The 14,810-nt window shown below is 50.6% G+C and overlaps 1 protein-coding gene and 1 long non-coding RNA gene across 14 annotated transcripts in view; one reads left to right on the forward strand and one right to left on the reverse strand.

Annotated features, from left to right (window-relative positions):
* HIPK2 (homeodomain interacting protein kinase 2) overlaps positions 1–14,810 on the reverse strand; it is a 216,429-nt gene that overhangs the window by 12,557 nt on the left and 189,062 nt on the right. For all 13 annotated transcript variants that reach the window (XM_047420265.1, NM_001113239.3, XM_047420260.1 and 10 more), the window contains 2 exons: positions 9,691–9,938; positions 1,002–1,162 (listed from right to left, as the gene is read on the reverse strand). In XM_047420265.1, the coding sequence (XP_047276221.1) occupies positions 1,002–1,162; positions 9,691–9,938 (409 nt within the window). The remainder of the gene's footprint in view (positions 1–1,001; positions 1,163–9,690; positions 9,939–14,810) is intronic.
* Positions 11,407–14,810, forward strand: part of LOC105375530 (uncharacterized) — a 30,021-nt gene continuing 26,617 nt past the window's right edge. The window contains exon 1 of the long non-coding RNA XR_001745383.2: positions 11,407–11,492. This is a non-coding gene — a long non-coding RNA (uncharacterized LOC105375530). The remainder of the gene's footprint in view (positions 11,493–14,810) is intronic.

Genomic DNA, 14,810 nt, shown 5'->3' on the forward strand with positions numbered 1-14,810 from the left:
GGACACTCTCTTTGAGCAGCAGTTGCTTTCTTACTCACTGTAAAATCTTGTTCTCAAAATTATTGGCTCTCACAACATCTCTACAAAAAATTTTGAAAATTAGCTGGGTGTGGTGGCTCATGCCTGTAGTCTCAGCTACTCGGGAGGCTAAGGTGGAGGATTACTTGAGTCCAGGAGGCAGAGGCTGCAGTGAGAGCCATGACAGTGCCACTGCACTTGAGCCTGGGTGACAGAACAAGACCCTGTCTTAAAAAAAAAAAGTTGGCTCTCAGAAGCGTTGCTGTTTGAAGTTCTGTCAGTCCAAATAAAATAGCCCTCTTCTACCTGGTGAACCTAAGTCACGTGACAGAGACACGGGCTCCACTGATGACCTGGGGCAGCACTTCAGATGAGGGGCTCTGAACACAAACACCCCATTTATCTCACTTTGTTTCTAGAGAAACAGGGCCCTGAGTCCACCACGTGAGTCAGGCCTGATGCCGAGCCCTTGACACAGACAGCCCTGCACCCACAGAAACTCAGGTCACTCACATTTCACCTCAACCCACCCCCCTTCCTCCAGGTCCTGGGACAAATCTTACCCTTGACTTGGGGGCTGTGGTGTGCGGGCCCTCCCTGCAATGAGTCGGATGCAGGTCTGTCCCTGATGTCCCAGGCCGACAGGGCCGGGACACAGTGCTCTACCCTTTGCTGGGTTGAAACAGCAGTATGTGGGCCATCCTATTTTTAAGCTCTGGCACCATGTCACTAAGGGCTTTGTAACATTAGACAAGTCGCTTTGCTTTGGGCCAGCACTCTGTGCACTGGTGATATCAACTTCCCCAAGGGTGACCTGTGGTAGAAAAAGCCACCAGAGGTCACCAAGGGCATGTGCTGCCACCCGTGGCCAGGACTGCAGCCCTGTGAGGTGGGTGAGGGGCCGCCACAGCAATCCTCTCTGAAGCGGAAGGATGAGGGGATGGGGGCCCTGCCTGGCCTGGGGCGCCAGCTGTGGGGCTTACCTGGCTGAGATTGAGTGGCTGCTGCTGCTGGAAGTGGGGGCCCGGCCGCTGCTGCCGGTAGGTGATGGCTCCAGATGAGCTCCCTGAAGAGTGACCGCTGGTGGAGGTCACGTTGCTGGAGGACTTGGACTTGTAGGAGGACGAGTGGTGACTGGTGTTGACTGTGGCGGGAGGAGAAAGAGGTCAGATCAGTGGCAGGGTCCCAGCTGCCCAGAAGATGCTACCCCACCAGAGAACAGTGGTCTTCCAGGAAGAAACATGTGCCTGAGGCCGGGCAGTAACAAATCAGCCTCATCTCCCCCGGACCCACTAGGACTTTGCCTTGACTCTGGATGCAGTGGGGCTCTGGCTCACTCCCTCGGCTGGGAGGGTGGTCGGGGCTGCATGAGGGAATGAAGCAAGGGAAAGCGGAAAAGAATCAGGAGAGGCAAGGTGGGCTGGTGGCCTAAGGCCAGGCCCAGTGCCGTTCCTCTGGGAGGTGTTACTTTCAGCATCTGGAAAATGGGTAGGAGAGATCTGCTATAATTTGAATGTGTTCCCCAAAGTTCTTGTGTTAGAAACTTAGTCCCCAGTGCAAGTGTTTAGGGTGGGGCCAGTAAGGGATGTTAGGTCCTGAGGGCAGAGCCCTCATGAGTGTATGAGTTCATCAGTGCATTAATATTATCTCGGGAGTGGGTTAGCTATTGAGAGATTGGCTTTTTTGATGAAAACAAGTCTGGCCCCCTCACCCTCATGCTCTTTTGTCCTTCTGCCTCCTGTGCTAGGAAGATGCAGCACAAAGGTCCTTGCCAGATGCTGGCATCCTGTTCTTGGACTTCCAGTCTTCAGAATCGTGAGCCAAATAAACTTCTATTGATTATAAATTACCCAGTCTCAGGTACTCTGTTACAGCAACACAAAATAGACTAAGACAGGATCCCTGCTTGGTCCCCACCATGGGTGACTATGAGTATCAGAGGAGACAGTGTCTGTGGTGGGACCTAATAAACTACTAGAAGCTAAAATAACCCTCAGAGTCACCTGGTCCAGTTACCTGCCTCTAGGCAGGATGAGACTAAATCATCCGGGGAATGGCCCTGTGAGCCAAACATGGCCAAGCACAAAACTGCCTCCATGTTATTGCCAAGGGGGCTGAAGAGTGGAAAAAACACTGCAACCCTCCAGAGGTGACCTCATGGTCAGCAGGTGGCTCCATCAACAGTTCTCAAATGTAATTCCTGCATCTTGTTCAGTGCAGACTCTGGCCAGCAGCTCTGGGGGGCCCGAGCACCTGCATTTCTGACAAGCTCCCAGGGGGTGCCAGTGCTGCTGCTTGGGGGACCACGCTCTGAGTAGCCAGGGGCTCTGAGAGAGGTGGGTTAAACCCTGAGCTGGATGGCTTCCATGTTACCCAGCCAGAGAGCCAGGGGAGCCAGGAGCCTCTTCAGAGCCCAGTGGTTTTAACTCATCCAAGTATTTTCTGAGCTCCTGCCCTGTGCTAAGGACGGTGACTGTGTACCACCAGGGACGGGGGTGGCAGGGAGAAGGCTGAGAGCGTGAATAAGGAGGAGGCATCACAGATCACGCAGATGAGGTGGCGAGGCCAGAGGATAAACCAGATGAAGACGCTGACAGTCAGGGACAGCCCAAGTCCAAGAAGGCTGATGGAACAGGACAGGGCAGGACAGGGCATGAGTGTCCAGCCCAGCAGGGGCAAGAGCCCCAGAGGGCGGGAGCTCTGCTGCCGAGTGGGGGCCATCTCCCCACCCCAGCTTGGGGAGTTCTGCAGACAGGACCATCACCCCTTGATAAAAGCAGAAGAGATGCTTTACTAGCCCCCCATGTCCCTGTGCCTCAGCTCTCCTCCAGGAGAGGGCTGCCTAACACACAGTGCAGTATTAATACACACCTAAATGAAATTTCCAATCAAATGCACCCAGATGCACCAGTCATAGCCATTCATTAAATGCAAGCACTTTTGTAATGGCAAAAGCAACAAACAGACCCAGACTAGTGAGAAGATACTGGGCTTCCTTTTTTTTTTTTTTTTTTTTTTTTTGAGATGGAGTTTCACTCTTGTTGCCCAGGCTGGAGTGCAATGGTGCGATCTCGGCTCACTGCAACCTCTGCCTCTCAGGTTCAAGTGATTCTCCTGCCTCAGCCTCCCAAGTAGCTGGGATTACAGGCACCCGGCACCACGCCTGGCTAACTTTTTTGTATTTTTAGTAGAGACAGGGTTTCACCATGTTGGCCAGGCTGGTCTCAAACTCCTGACCTCAGGTGATCCACCTGCCCTTGGCCTCCCAAAGTGCTGGGATTACAGGCGTGAGCCACCGCGCTGGGCCAACACTGGGCTTCTTTAGGAGCAAACTGCATAATGGCCTAGGAAAGTGTGGGAGGCAGAAAATTCCAGATACCTTTCTCTAACTTCAATGACAACGGAAGCAGAAAAAGAGGGGTTTAGTAAGTGAAGGCTACGACAAAGCAGCCTGAAGACTGTGTGGTTTGTGTTGTATAGTTAGAAACCATAGTTACAACAAGCATTGCTTCTGTTCCTTAAACGCTAAAGAACAGTAGAGTTAATGGAGAAGAAAACATCTTCCAGGTGGAAAGACAGGCAGATGGTCCCCCACCAAGAAGGGCAGGGCAGACCAGGGAATGAACAAGAGCCTGGCGCTGGGGCTGGGGGCTGTCCTGCCTCCTTGGGCAACCAGTCCTGCTGGGGTGAGATGTGCACAGAAACAATACTGATTTTTTTTTTTGAGATGGAGTCTTGCTCTGTCTCCCAGGCTGGAGCGCAGTGGTGTGATCTTGGCTCACTGCAACCTCTGCCTCCCAGGTTTAAGTGATTCTCGTGCCTCAACCTCCCAAGTAGCTGGGATTACAGGCATGCACCACCACGCCCAGCTAATTTTTTTTTTGAGACAGAGTCTCGCTCTGTCGCCCAGGCTGGAGTACGGTGGCGTGATCTCAGCTCACTGCAGCCTCCGCCTCCCGGGTTCAAGTGATTCTCCTGCCTCAGCCTCCCGAGTAGCTGGGACTACAGGCGCCCACTGCCACACCCAGCTAATTTTTGTATTTTTAGTAGAGACGGGGTTTCACCATATTGGCCAGGCTGGTCTCGAATTCCTGACCTTGTGATCCACCTGCCTTGGCCTCCCAAACTGCTGGGATTATAGGCATGAGCCACCGCGCCCAGCTGCTAATTTTTGTATTTTTGGTAGAGACAGAGTTTGACCATGTTAGCCAGGCTGGTCGTGAACTCCTGACCTCAAGTGATTTGCCTGCCTCAGCCTCCCAAAGTGTTGGGATTACAGGCGTGAGCCACTGTGCCCAGCCATGGTACTGATTCTTAGTCTAAGAACCAGACTGAGGAAGACTTTGCCCAGGAAAAAGGGAGCGCATTTTAAGAGAGAAAGGTAATGAGTAACCTCCTTTCCGCCATCCTTTGTTGATTTGAGCACTTCATGTGTTGTATCTTGTACTCAGTTATTTTTCTTCATTAAGTTTCTGGAATGTGCTTGAAATATTTTTATCACCTTGACTTTCTATGGAGGACAGCTAAATTCCTTTTTTTATTTTGAGGTGGAGTCTTGCTCTGTCGCTCAGGTTGGAGTGCAGTGGTGCAATCTCGACTCACTGCAACCTCTGCCTCCCAGGTTCAAGTGATCCTCCAGCCTCAGCCTTCCGAGTAGCTGGGATTACAGGTGTGTGCCACCAAACCTGGCTATTTTTTGTATTTTTTAGTAGAGATGGGGTTTTGCCATGTTGGCCAGGCTGGTCTCGAACTCCTGATCTCAGGTGATCTGCCCCACCCTTGGCCTCCCAAAGTGCTGGGATTATAGGCGTGAGCCACCGTGCCGGACAGCTATATTTCTGTGATTTATATTTTTTGGAAACCTTGCTGGACTTTAGGATTACTGCCTGGTGACACTGAAAAGCGTAAGGAAGCCCTAGGAGAGGAAAGATGAAATAACTGAGTATGGGAAAGAGCTTTGGCCAGGGAATCCAGTCATTCGCCAAAATGCGGTGCTATTGTTCCACAGAGCCCCAACTCTAAAGCAGTCCACATTTGAGGAAGGTGCCCAAAGTAGGGGTGTTCAAAGGACGAATCAGGTAAAATGTTTCATATGAAGGGAGAGGCAGCAAGAACATATTGCAAGATGTCCAAAGACAGATCTACACCTCACGTTCAGAAGCAAGAATTCGGAGCATTCATTTTGGGGCCTGAGCATCTTAGGTGAACTGGAAGGCTCATACTGTCTCAATGAAGTATCCTATGGGTGGTTAGTGTAAAAGGAGAGAATCTGGTCATTCTTGGGGCAGAGGTGCTAAATATTAATGAGCCATGCATGGAAACGACCAGGCCCTTGATTGAATTCGGTTGGATCAATTCTATTACAAATCCCAGGGCGATGAAATCAAAGTCAAAGAGGAGACGCCTGAGGCTGGAGCCAGCAAGAAAGAATGCTGATTAATTGTTGATGAAGAGAGAAATGTGCCTCTAGAGGTCTCAGCCTCTCAAGAAGGTCAAAGGAAAACCGGAAACCTGGGGACAGAAGTTTCTGGTGCTCACTACAGGTGGAAGGGGGCCTTCCTGACCCCAAAACTCAGAGCCCCCTGCCCTAAGTGAAGGGTGAGCTGCCGCAGTGGGGATGGGGGCAGTGGGTGCTATTCAGAGGCCGCAAATCCAACCGTGCATTTGCGCCTGGGGCCCCTCCCACCCCATCCACTGAATCGGAATCCCTCGAGTAGGTACGGGAGATCCGGAATCAGTATTCTTAGCAAGCTTCCCAGGACACCAGAGCCTCCTGGCCCTGGCTGAACAGACCTGCATTTGGGAATCAGGGCCTTGCGACCCAACACTGTGCCCAAGCCAAACCCATTAGACTCAAAGGTCCCCCAAAACCTGAGGGATGGAGGGATTTTTGTGGACTCAATGTAGAAAAGAAAAATAGAAAGCTGCAAACATTGGCTCTGCAGAGCCTGCTTCTTGCCTTCTGCAGCCACAATGTGGCTGTGTTGGGGGAAGCCTCCTTCTTGCTCTGCGGCGGGTCACAGACTGTGCTGGGCCCCGCTGTGCATGTCACCTACTTCTTCTATTCCAACTTCCTGGGCATTTTGTGGTAATGATATTTGAGGGAGAAACACTGAGCTCGAGGGATCAGTGAAGGGGTTAGGGAATGTTAGATGAAATGGGCGTAATGCAGCCCTGATGCTACCATCATCATGGGGACAGGAGATGGGGGTTGAGTCAGAGCTTGCCAAGCTCTCAGAGGACGAGAGCCCCGAGTAAGGGAGGACGTCCTGAAGGGGACCAAGAGATTAAAGTATAACAGTAACTCCTCCTGTGGCGATGGACAAAGCGACAATGGGCTAATGCTGGTCAACCTCCTAATGTATACTTTGGAACAGTGAGGAAACATTCTAGAGTTTTCCAGTCATGCCTTGTCCAGCTACTCTCCGTGATCTCCTGTCCTGAGAACAGCCACAGTGGCCCTGTCTACACTAGGTGAGTTGGCAGGGGTGCTTACAGCACAGATAAGCTCCAGGGCCAGACCTCTGGGAGGCCCAGCCACATGGCTCTGGGAAGGCTGGTCAACCCCTCTGTGCCTCCATTTTTAACCTGGGAAACTGGGAAGATCATGGCAGCTCCATGTAGGGCTGTGATGAGGATTAAATGAGTTAACAAGTGTAGAATGCTTAGTATCTGGCATCTAAGGGCTTAAGTATTGAGTATCTGGCATTTACGTACTTAGTGTTAGCTATTGTTGGTGTCATTATTGAACTCTGTCTCCTGGTTAAAGCTGAGGCTCAAAAAAAGGTGTCTTGGCCGGGCATGGTGGCTTATGCCTGTAATCCCAGCACTTTGGGAGGCTGAGGCGGGTGGATTGCCTGAACTCAGGAGTTCGAGACCAGCCTGGCTAACGCGGTGAAACCCCATCTCTACCGAAATACAAAAAGTTAGCCGGGCGTGGTGGTGCATGCCGGTAGTCCCAGCTATTTGGGAGGCTGAGACAGCAGAATTGCTTGAACCCGGGAAGTAGAGGTTGCAGTAAGCCGAGATCGCGCCACTGCACTCCAGCCTGGGTGACACAGCGAGACTCCTCTCCGGAAAAAAAAGCAACGACAAGTGTCTCTCCAAGCTGGGACAATCAATTCTGGTCTCCTGGAAATGGGACACCAGGAGCCTGGGAGCTGCTGTCGGTGAGTCGGGTGAAGGCAGCTTCAGAGAGCAGGCATCTGGCCCCCAGGGCTCAGGTCCCCGGGGTTCTGGCTCCTGCCCTGCCTGGGACTTAGTTGTTGAACTTTCCCTTAGCCCTGCATCCTTCCAATAAGTTGTTTGTCTTAAGCCAGTGTAGAGTTCATTCTGTTGCTTCCAAAAGAAACTTCACTAACCCCAACCTGAGAAGGACTGAAAGACTGAGAGCCACAGGAGGGGGTGAGTATGGCGGGGAAACAGCAGTGCATATCCTGGCCTAAGAGGGCTGGGGGAGCGCTGAACTCTCCCATGCTCTGGGTGCTGTAGCTGGGGGAGCTGTTAACTGGCTGTACCTTGGCCTGTATGCATCACTGGGCTCCAGGGAGCTGAGGAAGGCTGCTTTCCCGACTTTTCCAAGCCTAGGTGGGTTCTACAGCTAAAGGTGTGTATCGGTATTGAACGCCACTGGCTGGGGAAGGGCAGGCACCAGACGAGGAATGCCCCTGCTCGTGAGGGCACAGGCAGCACTCCCGCATATGGTATGAGTTCAGTCTGCAGCTTCGAGGTTTGCACAAACATATATTTAAGGAACTTAAATAATGATACAAGACAAATTCTATCCTTTGCAAATATTTAAACTTAAAAATGTGTGCTGCATATACCCTTAAACAATATTTAAAGGATAGCTGAGCTGAAAAGTATGCAGCTCTCTTTAAGGAATCCTGGCTCCCGGGAATGACTTCGGGTGCCTCCCAGGGCCCTTTGGTTACTGCTAGAGAATGTTGCTTCCTGGCAGGGTTTCCACCAAAACATTTGCCCGGGTGGAAAAAGATGGTTTTTGGAGAGAGATGTCCTTGTAGCCTTGTGGAAGGGACAGCTTCATTTTCTTTTCCTCACAGAGATGCCTAATTTTGGGAGGGCTCCAGCCTGCTTCTCTGGCCCCAGGTCACCAGACCCTAGCAGCAAGTACAGCCTGGCCCCTGTCAACCAGAATGCTCGCCCTGGCATGTGGCACTGCTGTGGCTCTATTTTTCCTGAAGGTAAGGTCTCCTTCTTCCGAGAGAGCACAGCGCGAGCTGCGTGCTGCTTGTGTGTCTTTCTCGCTGTAGGCACCACGACCCCCTGCCCCCAGGCCCACAGGAGCGCTGGCTCTGATGTCAAAGCTGCTTGGAGGCTGCATCGTCATGACGGTACTGTTGGGGACAGACCAGGACTTGCAAAAGGAGACGTTTTAGCAGGGTGCTGAGAAGCTGCATTTCACAAGCATTTCTTCAGAGGAAAGGTAGCTGGGGTAACTCCAAAGTCAGGGAAAAAGAGCTTCGCCGCAAATGTCGGAAAGGGTGATGCTGCCTTGGGTTAGGAAGTAGGTGGCGGGGAGCGCAAGCCTGTGGCTGTCACCATCTCCCCTTTAGGCAGAGCCTCTCAGCAAAAGGGGCCCCATCCCAGGCAATGCCATGAGCTCTTGGGAGAGCGTGCCAGGGCTCTGACCCTCACCGTGCAGGCTGGCCTGAGGCACTGGGCTGGAAAAGCCCTAATGACCCCATCCTGCCTCTACGCTTCATCCTCAGTGGCAGCCCCTGAATGGGGCCTGCGCCCACTGGGTCTCACATGTGGTCACCACCCAGGAAGAGTCCCCAGTTTCCTGTAGCGACCTCAGGTGACAGACATGAGGTCCTCCTGAGAAGTAACAGCTTCTCACATCTAGACAAAAGCTTCCTGGCGTTCCCTTTCCTTCCCTTTTCAGTTATGCCGCCACGCAGGTGCAGGCTGGCTTGGGTGTGGTTTGTGGCGGAATAGCGGGACGCGCAGACTTCTTCTGGTTTAGTCCCCACATTCTTCCACTGTGAGCATGAGCAAGGGAAACGCTAAATAGATGCTACAAAATCTACAGTGAGCCACTGAGTTTATTCAGAAGGTTACGTTCTCAGCCTTTATTCCAGGGCCCAATTTTCAAGACAAGCCTTCGCGGGACAGGAGGAGTCCTCTGAAGATAGCAGTGCATGAGCAGAGAAACACACATGGCTTGGTCTCGCCGCCCAGCAGCTGATTCCGAGGAGGGGCTGAGAGGGGCCAATTTCACCCTTCCCTAGCAAGACTCGGAGGAGGTTCTTCCTACACAAGAAGCCCATCTGACCACCAGGGCTTCCTGGCAGAGAGTGGTGCTAGATGTCAGCCAGGAACTCCCCAGACCAGGTATTCTTCCAGGCTCAGGCATAAAGAACCAGGAGGCTTTTATTTTCTATTAATCAACCTAGTTGGAAGCAGAGCCATTGTAAAGGCAGAGAGGTATTGATTACAGGATTAAAGAAGGAAAACGCTGCTTATACAATGTGCTGTTCAGCAGAAGCCTCCCCTGGATACTTGAATAAAATCCTCGGTAAGGGTCGCCTGCAGTCACTGGGCACTTTCTATTGTACTAGCTCCCATACAGCAACATTTCTAGCAGCAGAAAAGCAGGAAAACCACTCTCCAGGGAGAGGTTCCTGCCCTGTCCTGGCCCCAAATTACCTGGCACCAGGCTATCACACTCCACCAATACTTCGCTGGCCTGGGTTTTCAGGGGTGGCACGATGATGGTTCGGGGGTTCCCCGTGCAGTGATTCTCCAGGCTCCCCTTGGTGTCAAAGGCATTGGCATTGTTGTGCCCAGCACGCTGCTGCACGGAGTAGGGGCTGGTGTTGCTGGAGGAGTCGGAGTAGGGGGAGTCGTGGACTGTGACACAGCTGATGACGTTTTTTCTTTGCTTGGAGACAGTGCTGAAAATGCAAAGGGAGAAGTCAGAGGTGGGAGAAGGCCGTGAGGTGAGACACCCAACTAGCACTTCATGCCCTGGGGCAGGGGAGGGAGGCAGAGGGGAGAGGGCAGGAACAGGGCTTTTGCCCTCCCTAACCCCCATAGGGAGACTGGGCATGCAAAAGTCCCCTGTGTAGCCGGCAGCAGGGGGACATGTGAAGACATGGAGAAGGGGCTGGTGCTGGACCCACAGGGGCTTCTGGAAACTAGGGAGTGAGATGCTTCCGGGCTGGCCTGGGCTCTTCCTGTGCAGCAGAGCTCAGCAGAGCTGCAGGGGAGGCACCTGCAGCCCAGAGCTGGGTACAACCCCCGTGGGCCTGCCAGAATGGGACATCTGAGCAAGGAGAGAACCAGCAAGAACCCAGCAACCTGGGGACCTGGGTTAGGAGTAAACCTCGCTGGGAGAAGAATGTCATAAGCTTAGGTTTGGTGCCTGCGGCCTGGCAAAGCTTATGCAGGAGGGAGCAGAATGTCCAATGGGATGCAGCGTGAGGCTCTGAGGGGGCTGCATGCACACAGCACAGTGCAGACATGCTGCAGAGAACGCAGAGCTAGAGTTGACACCCTCTGCCTCTCCTTACTTTGAGTGTGCTCTGTGGGCTGTGTGCAGGCCACTACGACCTCTGCAGTCCCCTTTTCAGGAGCCAGGCTCACCTGCAGCTTTTCCACTGCCTGGGCCAAGGGATCGGGGGAGATGGTATTGCACCGGGGCCTGGTGGGAAGGCCCCTGCCAGGTTGATGCTGTGTGAAAGCCACTCTGAAGCCCTGGCCTTCATCTTATATGTGGAACTTCATACAATAGGGAGGCACTGGCTTTGGATAGCTCTTGGCCGGCATGTTTGTTCAGAGATATTTAAGTTAGTGTGGTTACTTTGGGAACTACTTCTGTTTGTCTTCAAACTCAGTGAGAGGCTGCTGGCATGATGGATGTGAAATTTATTGTTTATTGTGTGCTTATTTAAGACTTTAAAATGAATGTGCATCTATTTTTATATATTGATCATTTATTTTTAAGAAATAAAAATTGCCTAGGCAACTGGTCAGTTTCCAGCTAATTGGATGAGAGAAGCAGCTGGTATTTACGGAGCCTCATAGAGTCACAGCCACCTCCCGGGTATCTTGTTTGAGGCCACACAGCCAGGCCAGGCTCTTCCCATGATGGATCTCCACCACCCTAGAGGCAGCAGGGAAGTGGGCAAATTCCAGAGCCCACAGCAGCCAGGCAGGAGGGACAGAAGCAGAGCCTGTCTGCTGAGCTACAGAAGGCTGGGGGATCTGGGGGGTGCAGTCCCCAGGAGGCGCTGGCCCTGCTCCCCAACGCCCAGCGCTCCTGACATCTAGGCTGGATAATTCTTCCAGTGGCTGGACACTGTCCTCTCTGGTTCAGGGTGCCTAACCGTGTTCGTGGGTGAGAACACGAACCTTGGAGTCAGCTGTCTAACTTCGGCATGTGCTGGTGACAGGGCGGTGGGCAGCTATTTAACCTCTCAGTGATTCAGTGGCCTCATCAGTAAAAGGTAGGTAATAATTGTACCTATATCATAGGCTTGTTTTGAGAACTAAGTGAGAAAATACAAGTGCTTTCAATGATACACAACACATGGTAAGTATTCCATAATAGCTGCTATTCTTCTTCTTCTTACAAGTTGTGTTACCTTAGTTAACATGTGAAAACAGGTTTGCAAAAAACTTATTTAGGCAAAGAGAATTCTATCAGGGTAAGGACTTGCTGGAAAAGTTTCCTTTTTTCTAGTTTATGAATAAACCAGAAGATTGAAATCAAAGAAAATTAAAACTCATGATATCTCGGAGATCTACGCGGGGTACTACAGGGAATACCTATACAAAGAAATATGTGTCTCTGCCCTCGAGGAGATTAAAATCTCAGTGGAGGACTGTATAACAACATGACAAGTTAAATAGTAAAAGCTTTAAAATAACCAGTTAGAGAGAATAATGGATGTCACAAAGCCTCCGTGATTAACTGTCAGATGAATCGTACAGATGATAATTGTTAAGAACTCAGAAGAAGGTGAGGAATGAATTGGTTGCATATATTTATGGCTCTTCATGTTAACTTAAAGTAGATAAATTTTAATTAATAAAGACCCACACCTCCCAGTTATGACAGTTTAAATGTGAAATGTCCATATGCTTGTTCCTCAAAAAGCTAAACACAGAGTTACCCTATAGCAATTCCATTCCTAAGTACATTCTCAAAGGATTGGAAACAGGTACTCAGATACATGTAAGCCAATGTTCACTGCAGCACTATTCAAAATACCAAGAGGTAGAAACGACCCGAGTGTCCATCAGCTGGTGAATGAATAGAAAATATGGTGTATCCATACAGTGGAATACTATTCAGTCATGAAAATGAATGAATGCTGGGAGGGGTGGCTCATGCCTGTAATCTCGGTGCTTTGGGAGGCTGAGGTGGGAGGATTGCTTGAGGCTGGGGGTTCAAGACCAGCCTGGGCAACACAGTAAGAGCCAATCTCTACAAACAATTAAAAAAATAAGCAAAGTATGGTGGTGCATGCCTGTAGTCCCAGCTGTTTGGGAGGCTGAGGTGGGAGCCCAGGAGTTTGAGGCTGCAGTGAGCTATGATCACACCACTGCACTCCAGCCTGGGTGTCAGAGTGAAACCCTGTCTCCAAAAAAAAAAAGTTCTGATACATGCTACAATATGGATGAACCTCGAAAATATTAAATGAAATAAACCAGACACAAAAGGACAAATAGTTTGTTTGAGTCTACATATATGAAATATCTAGAACAGGCAAATTCATACAGACAGAAAATACATTAGAGGTTACCAGAGGTTGGGGGCTAGGGGAGAGGAGAGTGGGAAGTTACTGATTAATGGTATAGTTTTTGGTTGGGGTAGTGGAAAAGTTCTGAAAATAGATAACGGTGATGGCTATACAGCATTATGAATATAATTAATGTCACTGAATTTACACTTAAAAATGGTTGAAATGGCAAATTTTATATTTTACCACAATTAAAAATTAACAGACTAAAACCACTGAATTGTACACATTCAACGGGTGAACTATACAGTACAGTACATGAATTCTATCTCCATCAAAAACAAAGTCCAGGCTGGGTGAGGTGGCTCATACCTGTAATCCCAGCACTTTGGGAGGCCGAGGTGGGTGGATCACCTGAGGTCACAAGTTTGAGATCAGCCTGACCAACATGGTGAAAATCCGTCTCTACTAAAAATACCAAAAATTAGCCGGGAGTGGTGGTGGGGCCTGCAATCCCAGCTACTCAGAGCCTGAGGCAGTAGAATCGCTTGAACCCAGGAGGTGGAGTTTGCAGTGAGCCAAGATTGCACCATTGTACTCCAGCCTGGGCGACAGAGCAAGACTGTGTCTCAAAAAAAAAAAAAAAAAAAAAAAAAGCAAAAGAGATTCAGAGTCTTGGGCACTTCGCCGCTGTACATCAGGGCTCAGTAGAGACACCCAGAGGGTGGGAGGGCACTGAGATCCAGTACAAGAATTACAAAGTGGAAGCTAGGTGCGGTAGCTCACCCCTGTAATCCCAGCGCTTGAGGCCAGAAGTTTGAGAGCAGCCTGGGCAACACAGTGAGATCCCACCTCTACAAAAATAAAAACATTAGCTAGGCATGGTGGTGTGCACCTATAGTCCTAGCTGCTCGGGAGACTGAGGCAGGAAGATGGCTTGAGCCCAGGAGTTTGAGGCTGCAGTGAGCTGTGGTCGTGTCACTGCACTCCAGTGTGGGTGACAAAGAGACCTACACTCTAAAGAAAATAAATAAATAAATAAAAATAGTTAGGTACGGTGGCTGACACCTGTAATTAGCACTTGGGGAGGTCAAGGCAGGCAGATCATTTGAGGCTAGGAGTTTAAGACCAGCCTGGCCAACATGATGAAACCTTGTCTCTACTAAAAATAAGAAATCTGCTGGGTGCAGTGGCTCACACCTGTAATCCCAGAACTTTGGGAGGCCGAGGTGGGCGGATCACTTGAGGTCAGGAGTTCGACACCAGCCTGGCCAACATTGCAAAACCCCGTCTCTACTAAAAATACAAAAATTAGCCAGGCGTGGTGGTGTGCACCTGTAATCCCAGCTACTAGGGAGGCTGAGGCAGGAGAATCACTTGAACCCGGGAGGTGGAGGTTACAGTGAGCAGAGATCACACCACCACACTCTAGCCTGGGTGACAGAGTGAGACTCTGCCCCCACACCGCGCTGGCCCCCTGCTGAAAAAAAAAAACAAAAAAACAAAAAACAATCCTGGGTGTGGTGGCACATGACTGTAATCCTAGCTTCTTGGGAGGCTGAGGTGGGAGAATTGCTTGAACCCAGGAGGTGAGGTTGTAGTGAGCTGAGATCACACCACTACAATCCAGTCGGGGTGACACAGCCAGACTGTCTTAAAAAAAAAAAAAAAAGATTGCTGTCTACCAATAACAACAAAAAAGAATATCTCGAAATATTTTATAAATATAAATTAAGCAAAAAAAGGAAGTGGGACTCTAGGAGGTCTCTGAGCTAGGAGGTAGGGAGGAGGGATCTGAAAGCAGGGAGATGCTGGAGGCTGAGGACGAGGAGGGAGCAGGAGGGAAGGAGAGCTGCCTTAAGAAGACAAGGGCAGAGAAACCTGCAGCTGTCTTCTGGGATGAATGCGGGGGAGTAAAGGGAAACAACTGGTCTGCTGCAGTCTCTTGTGTAATAAGGGAACTCCTCCCACCTCACACTGTTTCGAAGTACTCTGAGGGCCAGGGGAAGAGCTGGGAGCCATGACTGGGAGCAGCTGCTGGCTCCCGAGGGGAGGTGAGGAGATGGCGCTGCCCTGCCC

This window comes from Homo sapiens, chromosome 7 (assembly GCF_000001405.40).
Source record: "Homo sapiens chromosome 7, GRCh38.p14 Primary Assembly".
Lineage (NCBI taxonomy): Eukaryota > Metazoa > Chordata > Mammalia > Primates > Hominidae > Homo > Homo sapiens.